This window comes from Homo sapiens, chromosome 11, assembly GCF_000001405.40.
Source record: "Homo sapiens chromosome 11, GRCh38.p14 Primary Assembly".
In the NCBI taxonomy this organism is placed as follows: domain Eukaryota; kingdom Metazoa; phylum Chordata; class Mammalia; order Primates; family Hominidae; genus Homo; species Homo sapiens.
The window spans coordinates 60,289,460-60,311,964 of NC_000011.10; the positions used below are offsets into that span (position 1 = coordinate 60,289,460).

The window sequence follows — 22,505 nt, forward strand, 5'->3', positions numbered from 1 at the left end:
TAGCCATCCTGGGTTTCTATGATCTACAAGATTTCTGCTACTCCTTTGCTGTTTTCAGGTGCTCTTCTTTAGTTACTTTAGTTGGAATGCATTTGTTTATTCATTGTTTTGGGGAGTGTGTGTGTGTGTGTGTGTATGTGTGTGTGTGTGTGTGTGTGTGTGTGTTGATGATGATGAGGGTTAGGAACTTCTCGTTGGCCTTCTTGGTGACATTCTTTAGAATTCTAATCAGACATATTGTAGACCTTTTAATTCTACACTTCTAATCTTTTAACCTCCCTTCTATTATGACCATTTTCTTGTTTCTCTACAGAATTCTTGGTGATTTCTTCAAATTTTTCTTCCAGTTGACTAATTCTATTTTCAGCTATTCCTTGTTATTTAACACATTGGCCAATTGTTTTCTGTCAACACTATTTTGTATTTGAAATTTGAGATTATGTTCCAAATATGTCCTGTCACTCTATGTGCTTTATCTTTGACTTCATGTTTGTGATTTAATTTTCATTTAAATAAGTTATCTATACTCTTTACATATTCTATATGTGATATATATCCAGATGCTCCTAATCTGTGGGACTTCTTGCAGGCTTGTATCAAGGATATCTACTTCCTTCTTTATGGACTCCAATGGAGGACTTATTCAGAGACTGATTGCCTTCTAAATATGTGTCTTTTTGGTGATTTCTCCTTTACTACTGACTTCGATGATTCTCAGAACTATACTTTTCCAGGGAAGTGACAGTTATCAACTGATGTATTTAATTCCCAGGATTATAAACAGTAATTTATGTTGTACACCTCAGGGGGGGCCTCTCATCCTTGATAAGTATACTCTGAAATCTGTGGCCATGGTGTCCTGTTTCTTTCATACTCTCACTACACTTCTCCCCAAATTTATCATCATGTAATCTTTGTTTCTAACACTCATTTCACCTGATTTATAGAAATGTTAGTTGTTTCCCACTTTCATAAAAAAAATGGAGTTCTAATTCTGTTTGTCCAAATTGTTTTCGGAACTTTTCTAAAAGTGAAAAGAATAAGAACATTGATTTTTTGGTTACATTCTTATATATAATTCCTTATCTTAACTACTTCATTCACATTTACATTATATATTTCTTATTTATTATATTTGTCTTTCTTTTTTAAAAGAAATACTTATTTTATAATTTGTAATTTTGTACTTTTTATTTTACTATTTTTCATAATTTTAAGTATATACATTACTAAAGTTAAATTAATGTTCTAAATAATTAATCTTTTCATTTTAACGTTTCTCCTCTATCTTTCTCTGAAATTCACCCCCCTTCTTCTGACTTTAATCAGTTTTATTGTTAGATAGCTAATAATTTATTTCCATTGATGTATCAAAAATAAATACAGGATGATAATTTTTTCAGAGAAATCTTAATTTTTTTCTCAACATAGCAAATTTGGAGTACAACAATTTTTTTTTCATTTATGGTACCAATAAAAGGGCACACATCTCAAAACGAGACTTTTATAGGGGCTCAGTGGAGAATAAGTGGTATCAAAATTAACTATTACTTGAAGGATATTAGCAAGCTTCATTTCCCTAAAAATTTATGGAAGTTGATCATGAAACACCTGAATATGAATTCAACTACATAGATAAAAATTTCCATGTGACTTTAGCCTATCTCTACATGACTTGGTTGGAGTTATTATACTGAGGACAGAAAGAGATATAAGAGTAATATGTTTGTGCTTAGATTCTCAAAAAATGATTTGATGGATCCTTGCTATGCACCAGCAAGTTAGGATTTAAAGCAATGTAATAGGACAAGAGATTTAGATTTGTGGTGCCAAGAATATGACTGAGAGCCATAAGTTTCATTCCCAAAGTTCAGAGTTTGTGGCACAAAATACAAGGTTACATAAATCACACTCAGCAAGGAGGAACATGGGAAGATTTTCAGCCCTGTGAATTTAACTGTGCTCTGATTAGAAAAGGAGGAACTATGCAATACTATACAATAAATTGGAAGGCAGATTAGTTTGTGTAGTTTATTACTATTATAAAAGTAATCCTTCAGCTGGGTGCGGTGGCTCACACCTGTAATTCCAGCACTTTGGGAGGCCGAGGCGGGCGGATCACAAGGTCAGGAGATGGAGACCATACTGGCCAACATGGTGAAACTCTGTCTCTACTAAAAATACAAAAATTGGCTCAGCATGGTGGCACGCGCCTGTAGTAACAGCTACTCGGGAGACTGAGGCAGGAGAATCGTTTGAACCCAGGAGGCAGAGGTTGCAGTGTGCCGAGATCGCGCCACTGCATTGCAGCCTGGTGACAGCGTGAGACTCCATCTCAAAAAAAAAAAACAAAAAAACAAAACTAAAAAACAAAGTAATCCTTTGTGGGTAAGTGGCTGTAATCAAGGGATTAGGCAGTAAGAGGGATAGAAATAAAATCTGAGCCGACTTGGAATTGGAACTTAAAGAAATTTCTCTAATTTTAGAGGTCCAACAGGTTTACCTCGCTTCTGTCAACATGTCCCTCTCTGCAGGATTTTCTAGCATCTTGATATCATATGACATTTAGTTTCTCTCCCACCTGCCCCCGCCCCACACACACACTTAATGTGTTGCCTATTCCACTTCCCCAGCTCTAACAGCTATTATGATATGGGAAGAGAATGTAGACCAGATTCTGTCCTTAGGGAGGAACCTGCCCCAAAGTGTCATGTCCTCTTTTGCCATTTCCAGGACATCATACTAAATTACATTTCTTATTGTAGCACCTTTTCTGCTGCCATGACAACCATGCAAGGAATGGAACAGGCCATGCCAGGGGCTGGCCCTGGTGTGCCCCAGCTGGGAAACATGGCTGTCATACATTCACATCTGTGGAAAGGATTGCAAGAGAAGTTCTTGAAGGGAGAACCCAAAGTCCTTGGGGTAAGTTGCAAATCTAGGGGAAGACCAATGGTGTTGCAAACTCATATTTCATAAGACCTAATGCCAAATACACTGTCCCACTAGCCTCATAATACAACAGCCAACCCTCACGACGTCAGTAATTACTTTTCAGGCTCTTCATCTGAAAAACTATATAGTATTCTGTCACAACATGCTTCCAGTTGAGTTATATTTAAAATATATTGAGTTCAGATCTATTCTAGGGTTGTGGGTCATCCATGATAATTGTATTTAAACTCAGTGTGGAAAAGCAGCAAAATAAAAGGCCACCTATGCACTACTAGCTGACGCCCCCTTTACAGGCCTTCCTGATAGCTGACAGGCACATATTGCTACTATTTCTTTCTGGCACCTTTTCTTAGCCCCCTGCTCAGAGGATGAAAAATCTATCCTCTGAGCATTTCCATCTGGAGTCTCAGATGAGCATGCCCAAAAGAAATGAAGGATTAAAAGAATGACAGAATAGGGCAGGTGAAAGGATATTAAATATAGGTTTATCACTAGCCCAAGCTTCAAACCACGGGAAAATGTCACTGTGGATATTCTGGATCCTTTTTTCACATTATTCATTTTCTGGAGGGGGGGAAATATAGTTATTTCTCATAAAATATGTTATTTATGTTGGCACATACTAGGTTTGTTTGTTTATTTATTTTTAATTTTATTTTTTGAGATGGAGTCTCGCTCCATCATCCAGGCTGGAGTGCAGTGGCACAATCTGGGCTCACTGCAACCTCCGTCTTCCGGGTTCAAGAGATTCTCCTGCCTCAGCCTCCTGAGTAGTTGGGATTACAGGCATGAGCCATCACACCTGGCTAATTTTTGTATTTTTAGTAGAGACGGGGTTTCAGCATGTTGGTCAGGCTGGTCTTGAACTCCTGACCTCGTGATCTGCCTGCTTCAGCCTCCCAAAGTGGGTTTATTTTTTAATGTATGAATAATTATTTTAAAATATACTGTATGTTTTAGAGCAGTTTTAGGCTTAAAGAAAAATTGAGAGCAAAGTACAGATCTATCCCATATGCCCCTTGCCCCCACAAATGCATAGCTTTTTAATTATCAACCTCCTCCACCAGCATGTAACCTTTGTACCAATTGATGAACTACATTGACACATCATTACTAAAAGTACACAAATCACAATGGGGTTCATTCTCTGTGTTGTGTGTTCTGTGGGTTTTAACACAAGTATAGTGATATGAATCTACCTTTGTAGTATCACATAGTATCCCACCAATCCCTGGCAACCACAAATCTTTTATTGTCTTCATAGTTTGCCTTTTCCAGAAAGTCATACAGTTGGAATTGTACAATAGGTGTTTTTTTTAGATTGCGTTCTTTCACCTAAATACATGCATTTAAATTTCCTCCATGTTTTCTTATGGCTTGATAGCTCATTTATTTTTAGTACTGAATAATATTTCATTGTCTAGAAGCACCACAGTTTATTTATGCATTCACCTACTGAAGGACATCTTGATGGCTTCCCAACTTTGGCAATTAGGAGTAACATTGCTATAAATATCTGTGTGCAGGTCATGTGTGGACATAAGTTTTTCAACTCATTTGGTTAAGTATGATTAGTGTATTGTAAGTAAGAGTACGTTTAGTTTTGTAAGAAACTGCCATACTGTCTTCCACATGGCCTTGTCACTTTGAAGATTTCAATCAACAGTCAATGAGTTCCTGCTGTTCTGCAAAATCTCCAGCAATTGGTAGTGCCAGTGTTCTGGATTTTTACCATTCTAACAGGTGCTAGTGGAATCTCACTATCATGTTAATTTGCATTTCCCTTGTGACATAAGATGTGGACCATCTTTTCATGCGTTTCTTTACCATCTCTATATCTTCTTTCGTAAGGTGTCTTGTTAAATTCTTTGGCACATTTTTAATGAGGACGTTTATGTTCTTATTGTTAAGTTTTAAATTTGTTGTATATTTTGGGTAACGATCCTTTGTCAGATATGACTCTTGCAAATATCTTCTCCCAGTCTGTTGTTTGTCTTTTCATCTCTTGACAATGTCTTCTGCAGAGCAGAACTTTTTAATTTTAAGAAAATTAAGATGATTTATTCTGTATTTCATGGTTTGTGCCTTTGGTATCGTATTGACAAATTCATCACCAAACCCAAGGTCATCTAGATTTTGGCCTATGTTATCTGTTAGGAGTTTTATAGTTTTTAGTTTAATATTTATGTCTGTGATTCATTTTCAGTTAATTTTTGTGAAAGATATAAGGTATGTGTCTTTTATTCTTACTTATGGATATCAAGTTTTAAGTACTATTTTTTAAAATACTTTTTTTTTCATTGTATTACTTTAGCTCATTACCAAAGATCACTTGACTATATTTGTGTGGCTCTCTCCAGGCTTTCTACTCTATTCCATTATCTATTTGTCTATTTCTTTGCTAATACCACACAGTCCTGATTACTATCACTTTATAGTATGTCCTAAAATTGGGTAGTGTTAGTCCTACAACTACTACTTCTTCTTCTTCTTCTTCTTCTTCTTCTTCTTCTTCTTCTTCTTCTTCTTCTTCTTCTAGATTGTGTTTGCTATTCTGAGTTTTTTGCCATTCCTTATAAATTTTAGAGTCAGTTTATCAATATATACAAAATAACTTGCTGGGATTTTAATGGAGATTGTATTAAATCTACTGATCAAGTTGGAAAGAACTGACATCTTGACAATGTTGAGTCTTCCTATCCATGGACATGGAATATCTCTCCATTTATTTTATCAAAGTTTGTAGTTTCTTATAGATTTTGTACATTTTTTTTTAGATTTATACCTAACAAATGCCAAATACCAATACCTAAATATTTTATTTTTAGAGGTGCTAATTTAAATGGCATTATGTTTTTAATTCCAAATTTCACTTATTCATTATAAGTACATAAGAAAGTAATTGTCTCTTGTGTATTAATCTTGTATAAATCTTGTAAACCTAATATAATTGTTTGTTAGTTCCAGGAATTTTTGGTTGATTCTTTCAGATTTTCTACACAGACATCATGTCGTCTGGGAACAAAGGCAGTTTTATTTTTCCCTGACCAGTCTGTATATCTTTATTTCCTTTTCTTGTCTTACTGTTTCTGCTATGACTTCCAGTACAATGTTGAAAGGAGTAGTGACAGGGCTCATCCCTGCCTTGTTCCTGATCTTAGTGAGAAAGCTTTGAGTTTCTCCATTAAGTATGAAGTTAGCTGTAGGTTTTTCACAAATATTCTTTATCAACCTGAAGAAGTTCTCCTCTATTAATAGGTTTTTCAAGAGTTTTTATAATAAACAGGCATTGGATTTTGTTCAATATTTTTTCTGCGTCTGTTAATATAATCATGTGATTTTTCTTCTTTAGCCTGTTGATGTGATGAATACATTAATCGGTTTTTTGAATGTATAGTCAGTCTTGCATACCTGGGATAAATCCCAAGTGGTCATGGTACACAATTTTTTTGATGCATTGTTAGATTTAGTTTGCAGATATTTTGTTGAGGATTTTTGCATATTTGTTCATCAGAGATGTTGGTCTGTAGTTTTCTTTTCTTGTAATGTTTTTGAATGATTTTTGGTAGATGGTAGTGCTAGCTTCAGAGAATTAGTTAAGGAGTATGTCCTCTGTTTCTATTTTCTGTAAATAATGGTATAATTTTTTTCTTAAGTGTCTGGTAGAATTCACCACTGAGTCCTTCTAGGTCTGATGCTTTCTGTTTTGGAAATTTATTAATTATTGATTCAATTTATTTAATAATTATAGGCTTATTCAGAGTGTCTCTTCTTGTGTGAGTTTTGACAAATTGTCTTTAAGGAGTTATCCATTTTATCAAGGCTATCAAACTGTGGGCGTAGAATTGTTCATAACATTATTTTATTATCCTTTTAATTTCTATGGGAACTGTATTGATGTTCCTTCTTTCATTTATGTTAGTAATTTTTGTCCTCTCTCTTTTTCTTAGGCTGGCTAGAGGCTTTTTAAATTTTATTTATACATACATATATTTTTAAAAACTGCTTTGGATTTTATTGATTTTGTTTATTCATGTTCTGTTTTCAATTTTATGATTTCTGCTCTAATTTCTATTATAGCTCTTCTTCTGTTTATTTGGAGTTTAATTTGCACTTCTTTTTCTAGTTTCTTAAGGTAGACTCTCAGGAGATTGATTTTAGATCATGATTTTCTAATATATTCATTCAATGCTATATATCTTCCTCTAAGCATTGCTTTCACTACATCCCATAAATTTTGATAAGTTGTTGAAATGTTTTTGATCCTTTGGAATGCCATGGGATAATGGTACTCTTACTCTGCTACGTTTAGATCCCTGTGTACTCATACTTGTGTCCTCATACCCCAGACTTCAAGAAAATATCATATTTGCTTTTCTTGTTTTCTTCCCTTGTATATACTCTCCTTTCTTCAGGTTACTTCTCCTTGCTACAATAATTGCTTTATAATTCCTAGGCCACTTCTCTGAGCTCATGAGAAAAAAAGAGAAATAATTGTGGTAGAAGTAACATCGTAGGTATCAGAAAAGCACCTCTGGGCTGGTTCTGGCATACTCCTTTTAACCTTGAAATTATTGGCAATGATAGACGTCGCGAGAGATAATATTGGTAAGATTACATTCACGGTTATTTATGTGAAAAAAGAGTGATAAGAGAATACTAAGAAGGTCATATGACTATCAAATGAAGGAGAATAAGGATAGCTTAGTGATTGGAAAGGGGGTGGCGGAAGCACCATTTTTGTGGTGGACAATCAGTTTTTGCTTTCTTCACCATTTTTAGGTTGTGCAGATTCTGACTGCCCTGATGAGCCTTAGCATGGGAATAACAATGATGTGTATGGCATCTAATACTTATGGAAGTAACCCTATTTCCGTGTATATCGGGTACACAATTTGGGGGTCAGTAATGGTGAGTAGAGTATCTTTTGATATAATTGAAGATAACATAAAGCAGTTGTCAATACCCTGATCTTTGGAATCCTATTCTAACCGTATCTTGTAATTCTGTAAATCTGAGAGTGGTATCTAACCATTTCTTACTCAATTTTCTCATATTTAAAGTACTACAAATAATATAGTATTATATTAAATCTAGGCAGATTAAATATTTATATATGTCAGTTAGATATATTACAGCAGCACATTGCCAAAGACCCAAACCAGAATGGCTTAAACATTGGAAGCACTGATTATTTCACAACAAGACTAGTGGCTTATCATTTCTAGGATGGCTTCATTCAGTGGTGCAAGGATTTCATCAAGGATTGCTAGCAGACCACATCAGAGGGGAGATGGTTGACACATCCAACTTTTGGTAAATATTTCATATACATATTCCCAAATCAACTGTCAGTAAGGATAACGGACTTGCCATTATTGGCTTGGACTAATCAAGATTTACCTCTGTAGCTGGGAGGAGTCTACCCTACCTTTAGCTCATGAGAAACTGAACAAAATGATGGTTTAGTTAGCAAGGAAGAAGAGGAGATGTGGCTGGTACACAAGCAGTTTCTAATATCTAGTCTACTGACTATCGAAACTCAGGAAATTGTTACCTCAGAAAATGAAAATGTTATTTGATATATTTTGTTTCATAAATTCAATAAAATAACTAATTATTATAATTAATATTAAATTAATTATAACTATTATTAATATTACATTAAAATTAGAATTGGAATTTAAATTTAAAAACCTTCTCCCAAGAGAAAACACAAGATAGTTTTAATGCAAATTGAGAGTAAAATTGAGAATAAAATACCAAGTTTTATCCATTGAAGAGAGAAAAATAAAATTTATAAGTTGGGTTTATGTTAGAATCAGGGAATCTATTCTAGCATTGCAGGGTTTCCATTTATTTCTAAAACTGAGAATGAGGTAGTGTAGAGTTTTATAGAAGAGCTTGCTTTTTGATCCCCTTCACCTGTTTACAGCAGAAGTGCAAGATTGGAAGAACAGTAAAGCTGTGTTTTACTTCTAGAAAGCTGCACAATACTTCATATATCCAAAAATACTGATGCCAATAACAGCTCTTATTAAACTCTTACTATCATGTGGACACTCTACTTAGTGCTTTATATGTGCAATTTCATTTCAAACAATCACCACGAACTTCTGATTTTTCATTATAATCATTTTATGGATGAAGAGAGGTTAAGTAACTAACCCAACATCACAACTGCTTGGTACAGGAATGAAGATTCAAATAGGGTCAATGTATTTTCAGAATTGCATACATCTAACTACTTAGTTTTCTGTTTTTATTTCCGTTTCCTTTTCAAGATCACATTAAAAACCAGCTTACATGGTGCAAGCCTTCCACACATGTTCAGTAGATTACCAGGAACTGCAGGAGCCATTTGTCCGCTGAGACATCACTGAGACTTTCGTAGGTGTTCCATTAGATGAGCCTTTACTTAATTGGTGAACTCTTTTCTGCGGCTACCTTCCATTATTCTTTCAACCTTTTTTTCCAAACCTCTTCTATGAAGTGCCTCCTTTTTCTCTTTCATACAGTATAAGTACCAATACCAAGAACCAGTCACAAGTTCCTCTTATTTTTGGCCTCTTCAGTTCTGTTTCTGTATATGTTTCACATTCCTTGTTTTTTCCTCTGAGATAGTACATACATACTTTTTCCTGTGGCAAATGAAGTCCTCTTATTCAATCCCATCTTCAAATACACAGACATACATACACACTTGTAATGTGTATATATAATTTCTGTATAGAATGTTTTTCCAAGGTGCCTTATTGAATTTTTAGAATAGTTTATGGTAATTTTTAGTTCACGTTCTTGAATGTTTGCAATATATATTGTTCATACTTAAATAAGAATAGTTAAACCACTTGTTCCAACTATTTTTCTTATGTAATTATTTTGGTAAATATACCCAGAATAGTATTACATAATAGTCAGCATCTTTATCTTGATTTTGACTTTAATGAAATGATCCTACATTTTTATCATTAAACATAATAAAGACTTTTAGACTGAGACAGATTTCTATCATGTTACAGAAATTACAATTCTTTTTTTTTTTTTTTTTTTGGTTTTTGGTTTTTGGTTTTTTGAGACAGAGTTTCGCTCTTATTACCCAGGCTGGAGTGCAATGGCACGATCTCGGCTCACTGCAACCTCCGCCTCCCGGGTTCTCACCATTCTCCTGCCTCAGCCTCCCAAGTAGCTGGAACTACAGGCACCCGCCACCACACCCGGCTAATTTTTTTGTATTTTTAGTACAGACGGGGTTTCACTGTGGTCTCGATCTCCTGGTCTCGTGATCCACCCGCCTCAGCCTCCCAAAGTGCTGGGATTACAAGCGTGTGCCACCACGCCCTGCCAATAATTCTTTATATTTTACCAGTAATGTTGCAGTTACTAATAATGTTGAATTGTATTAAATGTCCTAGCCTATCAACACTGTAAACATGAATAGCAATAAGCATGTAATTTTTTTCTTAAATTCATTAATTGTGTAAATTAGAATATTTCAATATTAAAAAATGTTTGTAGAGCTGAAGGAACATCCCAAATGTTCATGATGTATTTTATATCATATGATGGGTGATTCCCTCTAGTGGTTTTATTCCAGTGGTGATTTAGATATCATGAATCATCTCTATGTCTGGGTATTTGGAAGTTAAATAAATTTATTGAGCTTTTTTATTAGTTCTGTATTTTTTATATTATGATATAATCTTTGAATCATCTGAAATCAAATTTGAAAAGCAAATTAAAAACTCCAACAATTGAATATTAAAAGATAGAGAGTCTAACCAACTTGACTAGTTATTTTAGCTAAATGAAAAATAATTGCCTATTGATGGAATCAAATGAACTACTATATTCTAGTCATCATCTAATTGGGAATTTACATTTTTTTGCTACTATTTTGCTTATAAGTTTAAAAATATTGGCCGGGCGCAGTGGCTCACGCCTGTAATCCCAGCACTTTGGGAGGCCGAGGCGGGCGGATCACGAGGTCAGGAGATCAAGACCATCCTGGCTAACACGGTGAAACCCCGTCTCTACTAAAAACACAAAAAATTAGCCCAGCGTAGTGGCGGGCTCCTGTAGTCCCAGCTACTCGGGAGGCTGAGGCAGGAGAATGGCGTGAACCCGGGAGGCGGAGCTTGCAGTGAGCCGAGATTGCCCCACTGCACTCCAGCCTGGGCGACAGAGCGAGACTCCGTCTCAAAAAAAAAAAAAAAAAAAAAAAAAAAATTCTAAATGAGAATAATTTTAGTGTATTTTTTGTTTAAATATAGTCATCAATTTTGGTACCATGTAAGAATTACTTTGTATCAGGAGTTTGGAAACTATCTTTTAGTGCCCTCAAACAGTTTTAATATCATTTCAGTTAGATATTTGAAAAACTTGATAAATTCTCCCATGGATTTATCTGGTATTATTTCTCTGTTCTTTCTGGGAAAAGGGAAAATAATGTGCAAACCTTTGTGGTTTTCTTTAAGATAATTGGTCTGATTAACATATCTATCTAATTTAGAATTAAGTTTAGTAAGTTATGACTCCCAATACTGGCTTAAAGTTTTTTACCTTCATTTTTTCTCTCATTTTTAGTTTATTATTTCAGGATCCTTGTCAATTGCAGCAGGAATTAGAACTACAAAAGGCCTGGTGAGTAATATTTTCTTTTTTTGGTATCAAAAAAAGGAAGGATTAATAAAAAATGTATTCTGCCAGGGTGTAAAACAGGTTTTGTTTCTTTGTTTGTAAAAAATCAGGAGCGATTGTGCATTTTACCTACTAGAATCTGTCTTTCAAAAACTGCAGTCAGGCTAATTGCTGACATAGGACTGGATATTTTGGCAAGGTAGGGAATCTTACGCTTGTGGAGGGAATCTTTTTGAAGATATAGAGAATTATTGAGAAGAAATATCAAGTGGGACCGCTCCAACAAAACCCTGCAGCATGAGTCAGCCCATGATAGTGACACCAAGCATTGGTGTTGTGTAATATTTACTGACCCATTGATTATAATGTAGACTCCAACTGTGTCCAGAAAGGATTTTGAGTTTTCAATAAAAGAAATTCACAATAAGGTTATTACATAAGAAGCAAATTTAAAATGTAATTCTCATGCCAAGATGCCTTTCATAAAGCCAATACAATGCGAAAGTCCATATCTGAATAAATGTTTTTTTCTAGTTAAAGTCCATATTTGAGTTTTCTTTGTTCAAAAGATAAATATCAAATTCTGGAGCATGATCAATATGGGTTTTCCAAATCTGGCCTAACCCAACTCCCTAGTGTCCCCTCCGGCTGCAGCCACATTACTCATACTCCTCACACTTTGCTGTGCAAGTTTAGTTCTTTTTTGTTTGTTTTTTTTCTGGTTTTTGGTTTTTGGTTTTTTGAGACAGAGTTTCACTCTTATTACCCAGGCTGGAGTGCAATGGCGTGATCTCGGCTCACCGCAACCTCCGCTTCTCAGGTTCAAGTGATTCTCCTGCCTTAGCCTCCCGAGTAGCTGGGATCACAGGCATGTGCCACCACGCCCAGCTAATTTTTGTATTTTTAGTAGAGATAGGGTTTCTCCATGTTGGTCAGACTGGTCTCAAACTCCTGACCTCAGATTATCCACCCCGCTTCGGCCTCCCAAAATGCTGGGATTACAGGCATGAGCCACTGCGCCCAGTCAGCAATTTTAGTTCTTATTAAAAGCCTCCTTACCTTTATCCATGAGAAGAGAACGTACAGAAAAGAATATACTGCTGAGAGAGATAATATACAAAAGGTATAGAGGCATGACAGGCAAACAGCATTTAGAAAAATGATAAGAAATCAGGCATCAGAAGCAAGGAGTGGCAGGGAAGGACACAGACAGGGCTGTCCAGCTAAAGTGTGAAGGACATTGAAAACCCTGCTAAAGAGATTTGGAGATTATATTATGTGCCCACGGGAATCATCTGAAGAATTGAAGCTGCGGAATAATGAGATCATGTTTGTGTTTTGCCAAGAGATTAGAGTTGAAACCACAAGACAAGTTAGAAGACTATTGAAATAATCAAGATAATGATAGATGGCAGTAAGAAAGAGATGGTGGGTGTAAAGTGATTCATGGAGATATATCTGAGGATGTTGTTGGATTGTTTAATTGATTTTCATTCCTTTCTAGGTCCGAGGTAGTCTAGGAATGAATATCACCAGCTCTGTACTGGCTGCATCAGGGATCTTAATCAACACATTTAGCTTGGCGTTTTATTCATTCCATCACCCTTACTGTAACTACTATGGCAACTCAAATAATTGTCATGGGACTATGTCCATCTTAATGGTTGGTACTGCCTCTTTTCAGGGGATATTATTATAGAAGCAAGTTTGGGGAGTGCTGGCTCTGGCAAAGACAATAATTAATATTCCCTAATTGATGAATGACTTTGGGAAGTTGGAGTGATTGAGAAATAGAATAATCTTTCATTTAGGAGTTAGGTACATGTCTCATCTCTGTCTTTATTCTTCTATATATCATGAGGCAAAATGGGAAGAAAGCTTATAGTTATAGAATACCTACTCATTAATAGTTACTGTGCTGGGTATTTTGTATACATTTTTCTGTTTAATTTTAAAACATTGATGCAGTACGTACTGTTATCCCCTCTAAAAATGGGGCCCTGATGTCAGTCCCTATTCTCTAATAATGAAGTAAAATTGTCTTGAACAGTATTTTACAAGTGGTGAGTAGCTCAGTATCCTTTCCAACATCTTTGGATGTTCTTGCAAGGTTAACCACTTTTATCCTCAACATCTAGCTCCTGATAAATCTCAGTCTTCATTATGACTTTTACTACTTTTTTGTACCAATTGTTCTTATCTTAATGCTATCCTAATTGCTTTATTCTGAAAATGCCACCTACACAATATTTTGTAGGTAGTAAAACTTCTTGATATTTTGGGCCATTGGGTAATTGTGGGGAGGAAAAGTTATTGCAGCACATCACAGCAGACTAAAATGCACAATTAAATCTTTATTATTAAAAAGCCTGGCAGGGCGCAGTGGCTCACGCCTGTAATCCCAGCACTTTGGGAAGATGAGGTGGGTGGGTCACCTGAGGTCAGGAGTTCAAGACCAGCCTGGCCAACATGATGAAGCCCCGTCTCTACTAAAAATACAAAAATTAGCCAGGCATGATGGCACGTGCCTGTGATCCCAGCTACTCGGGGGGCTGAGGCAGGAGAATTGCTTGAAGCTGGGAGGCGGAGGTTGCAGTGAGCCGAGATGGACACATTGCACTCCAGCCTGGGCAACAGAGCGAGACTGCATCTCAAAAAAAAGAGAAAGCCTATTGGTCATTTTGAACACCTGCAAATTTTTTGTTACTTTCCCTCTATATGAACTTTCAGCCTTTCACCTTGCTGCTTAGTTCTCTTCCTTACCACGTTCTTCGCTTATGTAAACGTGGAAACCCAACATTCTTCCTAACTTACTAAGCAGAATCAGTTGCATTCTGTTTACTTCATTCCTAGCTAATTCTACATAGTTTTGTGGGCTATATAATCACACCAAAATAACCCCTTGAGGTGTCTTTGCTAAACTAATTTACTTCCCTTGAGATTTCTATTGCTTTTTATAGTAAGCAATTTTACTTCTTGCCACTCGCTCAAAATAAGAAAAAGCTTCTATAGAGAATTTGACAAATTCTTTCAAGGTCTTTCAGTTAGAAACTGGCAAAAGGAAGATTAGATTCTACAATTTCTTGTCTCTAATTCCCCTATTATTTGCTATTTGTATCCTGCAGAAGGACCTTACTTTTAGTTTACGAAGTTCTCTTCATTGGTAGATTTTAAGGGCACAATGATAGAGACAAAATCTGGAATTGGCCAACTTGATAGGGCTGATTTCGTGGGCATGGGACCTGTGCAGTTACTCAGGACTTCACAGTTAAAAGAGCCCTGTGCTTGATCTAATGCTCTGCTGTTGCTATCTTAAAATTGTTTTTAAAAATTTTAAACAAGAGAATCTAAATTACATAGCTGGTCCTCCATTCATCTCAATCACCTTTCCCAGAGTCCATGATGAATTCCTGTTAATTGTGTGAACATCTTTATGCCTGTTCTTATAGCAGAGGACCTCCATAAGGGCTTCCTGGGATTTGAAGTAATGGTTCTATTCTTGCCTGGGCACCTGCACAATCAGTCCACAGGTCTATATACATGCTACCTTTTTTTGGAGGCCCAGCCCTGTACCTGTTTTTGTAAATAAAGTTTCATAAATAAAGTTTAATTGAAATACAACGAAGCCCATTTGTTTACATATTGTGGAGTGCTGCTTTCGTGTTATAACAGCAGGTTTGAGTATGTGTGACAGAGACCTTATGGTCGGCAAAATCTAAAATGTACATTATCTGGCCTTTACAGAAAGCTTGCCGTCTTCTAGTCTACACTTCTAGATGGTAAAATCCTTGAAGACAGGGGAATTGTCTGTTTTGTTTGCTGCTCTATCTTCTGTGCCTACAACAATGTTGGAAACACAGAGGCCACTACAGCTGTTGAAGGCACAAGAAAATAAATAAGCAATGAATGCAAATATTCTCAAGGTCTCCTTAAGTCTGCCTCACTCATATCCTGAGCTCTTGGTCTATTGGCTCTTCTGCAACAGAGGGACTATCCCTAACCATGGAGAGAAAAAGAGAGAATATTTAAACCAGATAATCCCTGCATCAATCCGGGGGAAAATTAATAGAAATAAGTGTACTGCCCAATGTTTTCCAAATTTTGACCATGTTTCTTGGCTGAAGACTAGCCCTAAAGCCAGTGCTCTGGGCAGATGGATTAAAGACTGACCTACTTGATGTTCATTGTTGTATTAGCTTCTTATTGTTACTGTAACAAATTACTACAAATTTAGTGTCTTAAGACAACACAGTTTGGTTATCTTATGTTTCTGGAGGTTAGAAGTTCCAAGTGGGTCTCACTAGGCTAAAATCAGAGTGTTGGCAAGGCCATACTCCTTTCTGAAGGCTTAGGCAACAAAAAGTTTTATTGCCTTTTCTGGCTTCTTTAGGCTGCCTATGTTGCTTGGTTTGTCATCCCATCTTCTACCTTCAAATCAAGCGATGTAGCATCTTCAAATCTCTCTTGAACTCTATTCTGGCTCTTGCTTCCACTTATATGGATTTTATGGTTATTTTGAACCCACCTGAATAATCCAGGAAAATTCTCTTATATCAGCTAATAAGCAATCTTAATTTCATCTGCAAATTTAATCCTTTTCGCTGTTCAAAAAGAACAATGGTCCCCCAGGGAGGTCTGCATTCTAATCTCCAGAAGCTGAGGATTAGATTCTCTGCTTACAATTACTAAGATATGGAATCATAGTATTTTCTCAATGATATGAGTTTCTAGTACTCAATAGGATATGATGACAATTATCTTTATACTACCTTCCTAACTTTTTAAAGCACTTTCATCTTCCATGCCCACAATAGCACTGGGAGGTGCTGAACTAGGGAATAAATGTCTGTGATTATTTTATCAGTGAAAAAAGTGAGAAGCTACTTCAGCAGATCAAGAATTGGTCAAGGGTATGGCTGCCATTGGGAGGCAGGTTTCCTGACTCCCAGCCAGTGCTTTTTCTCTTATGACATTGTGGTTACTGGGAAATGTTTTCACTTGTCATCTCCATTTCTCACATTCCTTTGTTATGAGTTTTCTCCTAGGGTCTGGATGGCATGGTGCTCCTCCTAAGTGTGCTGGAATTCTGCATTGCTGTGTCCCTCTCTGCCTTTGGATGTAAAGTGCTCTGTTGTACCCCTGGTGGGGTGAGTATTGGCCTTCATTTGAAGATGACTGTATTAGTTTTCTATTGCTGTGTAATCGATTACACACACTTAGAGTCTTAACACAGAACACATTCATTATCTCTCAGTTTCCATGGTTCAAGAGTCTGAGCCCAGCTGAAGTATGTCCTTGACTCAGGATCTTACAAGGCTGTCATCAGGGAGTTGGCTGGGGCTGTGGCCTTGCTTGGAGCTTCTGATTCTCTTCCATACTAATGTGGTGGAATTCATTTCCTCTCAGTTGGAGAACTCATGACAATGTATTTTATCTTTGAAATCAGCCGGTTGCTAATGCTTTAATCCTCTCACAAAGGGTTCACATGAACGGATGAGGTCCATTCAGAATAATGCCTTTCTTGATAAACTGAAAGTCAACTAGTTAGTACCTACACACAGGACTTGTATCTCATCCTATACACAGGTTCCATCCACACTTGAGAGAAGGGAATCACAAGGGTTCAGTGAGTGTCACCTTAGAACTCTGCCTCGCACAGTAGCTACATAAAAGCTCTTTTTCCCCTTCCTTTCTCCCTCGAAGTGCATAACCTCTGAATCCAGATATGAGGATATTTCACAATGAAGAGGTCCCCAAAAAGTATTTTATTTTATTCCATTATCCTATTACAACAACTTTTCCTGGTATATTTCCATGAAATATCATGATCTCAGACTTCTCTATCAGTCTGTGCCCACCTGCCCACTCTTTTACCCTGAGACCTGCAGCTGATGCTGCTCCTGGCAGCTAAACCCAAAGAATGTCACACAGAGAGAGGAAAGCAGGGAATGGAAGGAAAGAAGAGACCAAGAAAGAAGCTCTAGGAAGAATGGGGAGGGATATCCTCCAAGAGTTGAAGGTTCCAGAATGAGGAAATGGATAGTAAAACCCCAACAGCTACTCATTAGCTTCATTACCCAAAGGCCCACAGGCAGACAAAACCAACAGCCAAATAATAAAATAATCATAGTTTGATGAGACGGTTCTTCTGGTGCCCTTCTCCATCATTTTGCACCTCTTTGTCTTCTTTTGAGGTTCCCAGGCCTTCCTCACAGAAGAGTGGGGGTTCCACATCCCACTCCCCCACAGCCCTTCCTCACAGAAGAGAGATTGACTATAGCACATTAACTCTAATAGTGGGTTTTTGCATTGTAAAACCTGAGAAGGGAGAGATTCTCAGCAATTACCAATGATTTTATAATTTCATTGAGTAAAGCTTTTTATTTTCATTGAGTGAAACGTTTGGACATGGAGGCAAACTCTTTCGTAAGTTTCATGTCATAATATTTAAGCTTGTGTTCCCTTCAGCTCTTAGCATAGGTGCTGGGGAATGTTGTTTTCTAATCTCCTGATGTGAATTCAGAAAAGCAGTGGTTTTGGGGCATATGATAGCTAGGTCTCTATCTCTTCCTGTTCTTCCACCAACCCTATGTCACACTGACTTTGTGGAAGAATAACCAGAACTCTTCTTAGTTTTGTGATGTGTGGGCCAGTGTGGTTTTTGCAATGTATTATTCATAACTAGCAAATCATGATTTGGGTATGTTGATGTCATCAGCATGAACAACCTGGTTTGGAAGAAGAGCCCCATATTTTTCATAACACCTTGGTTTACCCAACGTACTGTGCACTGTCATCCACACGTAATATTGATCCACTTGCGAGACCAGAGCAGTGGTCATCAGCAGCTCAGGTCAAGAGCTATCACTGAATGTTGTGTCCTAAATCAGGCCTGATCAAGAGAGTGACTGAGAAACCCCACATACTTGATCTTGAGAATGAATCAGAGAAGAAAAGAGTAAACTCTGATAATGATGACTTTATGTGGGCAGGAAAGGGGCACTCTGAGGTGATTTGGGTGACTCACCTTTGGCATTCTGATTGTTTCACAGGTTGTGTTAATTCTGCCATCACATTCTCACATGGCAGAAACAGCATCTCCCACACCACTTAATGAGGTTTGAGGCCACCAAAAGATCAACAGACAAATGCTCCAGAAATCTATGCTGACTGTGACACAAGAGCCTCACATGAGAAATTACCAGTATCCAACTTCGATACTGATAGACTTGTTGATATTATTATTATATGTAATCCAATTATGAACTGTGTGTGTATAGAGAGATAATAAATTCAAAATTATGTTCTCATTTTTTTCCCTGGAACTCAATAACTCATTTCACTGGCTCTTTATCGAGAGTACTAGAAGTTAAATTAATAAATAATGCATTTAATGAGGCAACAGCACTTGAAAGTTTTTCATTCATCATAAGAACTTTATATAAAGGCATTACATTGGCAAATAAGGTTTGGAAGCAGAAGAGCAAAAAAAAGATATTGTTAAAATGAGGCCTCCATGCAAAACACATACTTCCCTCCCATTTATTTAACTTTTTTTTTCTCCTACCTATGGGGACCAAAGTGCTTTTTCCTTCAGGAAGTGGAGATGCATGGCCATCTCCCCCTCCCTTTTTCCTTCTCCTGCTTTTCTTTCCCCATAGAAAGTACCTTGAAGTAGCACAGCCCGTCCTTGCATGTGCACGAGCTATCATTTGAGTAAAAGTATACATGGAGTAAAAATCATATTAAGCATCAGATTCAACTTATATTTTCTATTTCATCTTCTTCCTTTCCCTTCTCCCACCTTCTACTGGGCATAATTATATCTTAATCATATATGGAAATGTGCAACATATGGTATTTGTTAAATACGTTTGTTTTTATTGCAGAGCAAAAATAAATCAAATTAGAAGCAATACTTTCATGTGCTACCTACTTCCTTTTCAGATGCAATATGGTGGAAAGAGACTAAGCGTTGATGTCAAAAATACAGTATGGTGGTAAATAATGTGGGTTTTCTAAACAGACAACCCTGGGTTTTCATCTTGCTATCCCATCTTTGTTGTTTACTACTTATGTAGCTATGAAGATGCCACAAAATTTCTCTGTGCTTCATATTTCTTTTTAGGAAGGTAGTAATAATATTGTCTGGCCCATACACCTATGATAATTACTTGGTATAACAAAGGTAGAAAAACCAGGACTCTGACTGGTACATATGGAGCCACGAAAGTTTTAATTAATATATATACATGTATATATGTAAATAGATATGTATTAGATATATATATCAATTTATCATTTTATTCAGCATATATCTGTAAAGTATCTGTAATGAGGCAGACATTGTTTTAAGCATATAAGAAAATAGTGGTAAGAGAGATAATATCTTATATATATAAGATAATAGTGGTGAATAAGAGAGAGAACATCCTTCCTCTCTTGTAGGTTAAAACTTTTATGGGACAGGACATAGATTAACATATAAACAATCAAAACCTTTTTATATGTTGTTAGAAGCTAACTGGAAGAATTAATGTGCTAGAGAGTGGCTGCTGTAGTGGTGGTGAGAGATGAGTCATTAGAATGTACCCAGGAAAGTTTTTTTTTTGAGGAAGTGATATTTTCATTATGATAAGATAAAAATTATTGAATTTGCACGGATATTCGTATTTTCCAATTCAGTATATAGTATTTCTAGATTTCTCATTCTGCCCTACACTCACATATCTATTGTATCCACCTTTCTCCATGCACGCTTTTCATGGGAATGTAAGTCCCTCCTTCTATCAGTGCTAACCTGTCTACTTTCTCCAGCTCCAGGGATGGATAAGGTGTGGTAAAAGTCAGTTAAGACATTCTATCTTCTTGGTTGAAAGTTGGAAGGTAATTAGCAAGAACCACCAAATAGAACTTAATACTATTGCTTTTCTTTCTTTTTTTTTTTGAATTTTTTTTTTTTTTTTTTTTGAGACGGAGTCTCGCTCTGTCGCCCAGGCTGGAGTGCAGTGGCGCTATGTCGGCTCACTGCAAGCTCTGCCTCCCCGGTTCACGCCATTCTCCTGCCTCAGCCTCCCGAGTAGCTGGGACTGTATACAAGCGCCCGCCACCGCGCCCGGCTAATTTTTTATATTTTTAGTAGAGACGGGGTTTCACCGTGTTAGCCAGGATGGTGTCTCGATCTCCTGACCTCGTGATCCGCCCGCCTCGGCCTCCCAAAGTGCTGGGATTACAGGCGTGAGCCCCCGCGCCCGGCCAACTGTTAATATTTTACCATGTCATAAAGAGATATTGGTCTATGTATGTACCTAATTCCAATCTTTTAATTATTGTGTATGTACTGATATCCTACTTGTTTTATTTCTTCAATATTGTATTAATACTTGGCAGATTTTGTACTCGGCATTTATTCCCCATTTGTTCTGATAATGATGGCCTGATTTCCTCCAAAAAATCACCATTATCTAACTCTTAATTTATGTACAAGGGTGGAGCTCACCCAACCCCCAATTTCAGGAGTTGACCTGTGTCCTACATCTGGGAAGTGGCAGAATTACATCAACTCAGCTAGAGTGAAGTTCTTTGGTAGCCTTGTGACCTAGGAAAAAACAATTGTGTGAATGACTGACACATTTCCAATCAAAATTAATCTCATCATTTTCACTTCACTGACCAAGAAATGGTCTCCCCATCTTTCCTCTTTCCTGTTGGGTTTGGAGCTGTGAGGACGTAAGTTTGCTGCCATCAGCAGCCCCGTGACAGACAGATGCTCACAGACAAAAGCAGAACTGAGAAGTTCCAAGTGAACGATCAGACCCTAATGTAATTCTTTTGAGTCTCCAAGTCAAGTTTTACCCGGAGTTGGCCCAACCCCTGGGGTTTTAAATATATAAAGACAAGGAAAGAGATTTATTCAGATAGTGCAATAACTGGGCAAAATCCTTCAACGGCTTCCTCTCTAATTCAGAATAAAAGCCAAAGCTCATATAAATCCTACATAGTCCTTACATCACGTGATTCTTTGTTGTTTCTTGGATTTTTAAAATATCCTGACTTATATCCTGATATATTGCTTTGAGATTGTTTAAAATGGTAAGAGAGTGCCTTCTCTTGGTGATAATTAGTGCATACATAATTTTTTTAACACTTACATAAGCAACCTAAGATTAGTGCATTTTTAGTTGTAAAAAGTTCATGCAAATATTTTGTGCTATTAGTGCAAGATATTATGATTCCAACTTTTAGACAAGACTACCTGCACTTGTTTCATGTCATGTGATTTGAAATTTATTCTTCATTTGGTTATTCTTGGTTTTATCTATATGTGATTAGAAAGCAGTAGGAAAATGTCCATGAGACTTTGTCTCCTTTTGCTACTTTTACAATAAAAATAATTATTGTTTCATAGGTTTTTGTTTTTTTTTTTGAGAGAGGGTCTGGCTCTGTTGCACAGGCTGGAGTGCATTAGAACCTCTGCCTCCTGGACTTAAGCCATCCTCCCACCTCAGCCTCCTAAGTAAATGGGACTACAGGTGTGCACCACCACACCCAGCTACTTTTTCTATTTTTTGTAGAGACAGTGTTTCACCATGTTGCCCAGTTTGATTCCCTGTCTGCTTAATGATTGCAAGAGGCTCCCCTGCTGGGTTGAAGTTGGGCCAAGAATTGCCTTAGTAGTGGTTGATACGGTTGGGATGGTATGGTTAAAGTTGAACTCATCATTGAGGGAAGCATCTTGGGACCGCACTTCGCCTTGTAAATAATTGGAAAAAAAAAGTTATAAGGTCTTGAGTATATAAAGTGATATTATTGATAACTTCTAACTATAAGTAGTCCAAGCTCTTCAGGTAGATGCAAGATATCTGTGACTAAAAATGATTTTTTTAAAAAATTTGAATCCAGTATTTTTG

At 36.8% G+C, this 22,505-nt stretch overlaps 1 protein-coding gene across 3 annotated transcripts in view; it reads left to right on the forward strand.

The window, feature by feature from the left end:
- MS4A4A (membrane spanning 4-domains A4A) overlaps nt 1-19,511 on the forward strand; it is a 28,305-nt gene extending 8,794 nt beyond the window's left edge. For 2 of the 3 annotated variants that reach the window (NM_024021.4, NM_148975.3), the window contains 6 exons: nt 2,766-2,925; nt 7,738-7,866; nt 11,542-11,598; nt 13,100-13,258; nt 16,641-16,742; nt 18,648-19,511. In NM_024021.4, the coding sequence (NP_076926.2) occupies nt 2,782-2,925; nt 7,738-7,866; nt 11,542-11,598; nt 13,100-13,258; nt 16,641-16,742; nt 18,648-18,719 (663 nt within the window). In that variant the 5' untranslated portion in view covers nt 2,766-2,781 and the 3' untranslated portion in view covers nt 18,720-19,511. The remainder of the gene's footprint in view (nt 1-2,765; nt 2,926-7,737; nt 7,867-11,541; nt 11,599-13,099; nt 13,259-16,640; nt 16,743-18,647) is intronic. The other variant, NM_001243266.2, reaches the window with a different exon arrangement.
- Nucleotides 19,512-22,505: the final 2,994 nt, after the last annotated feature.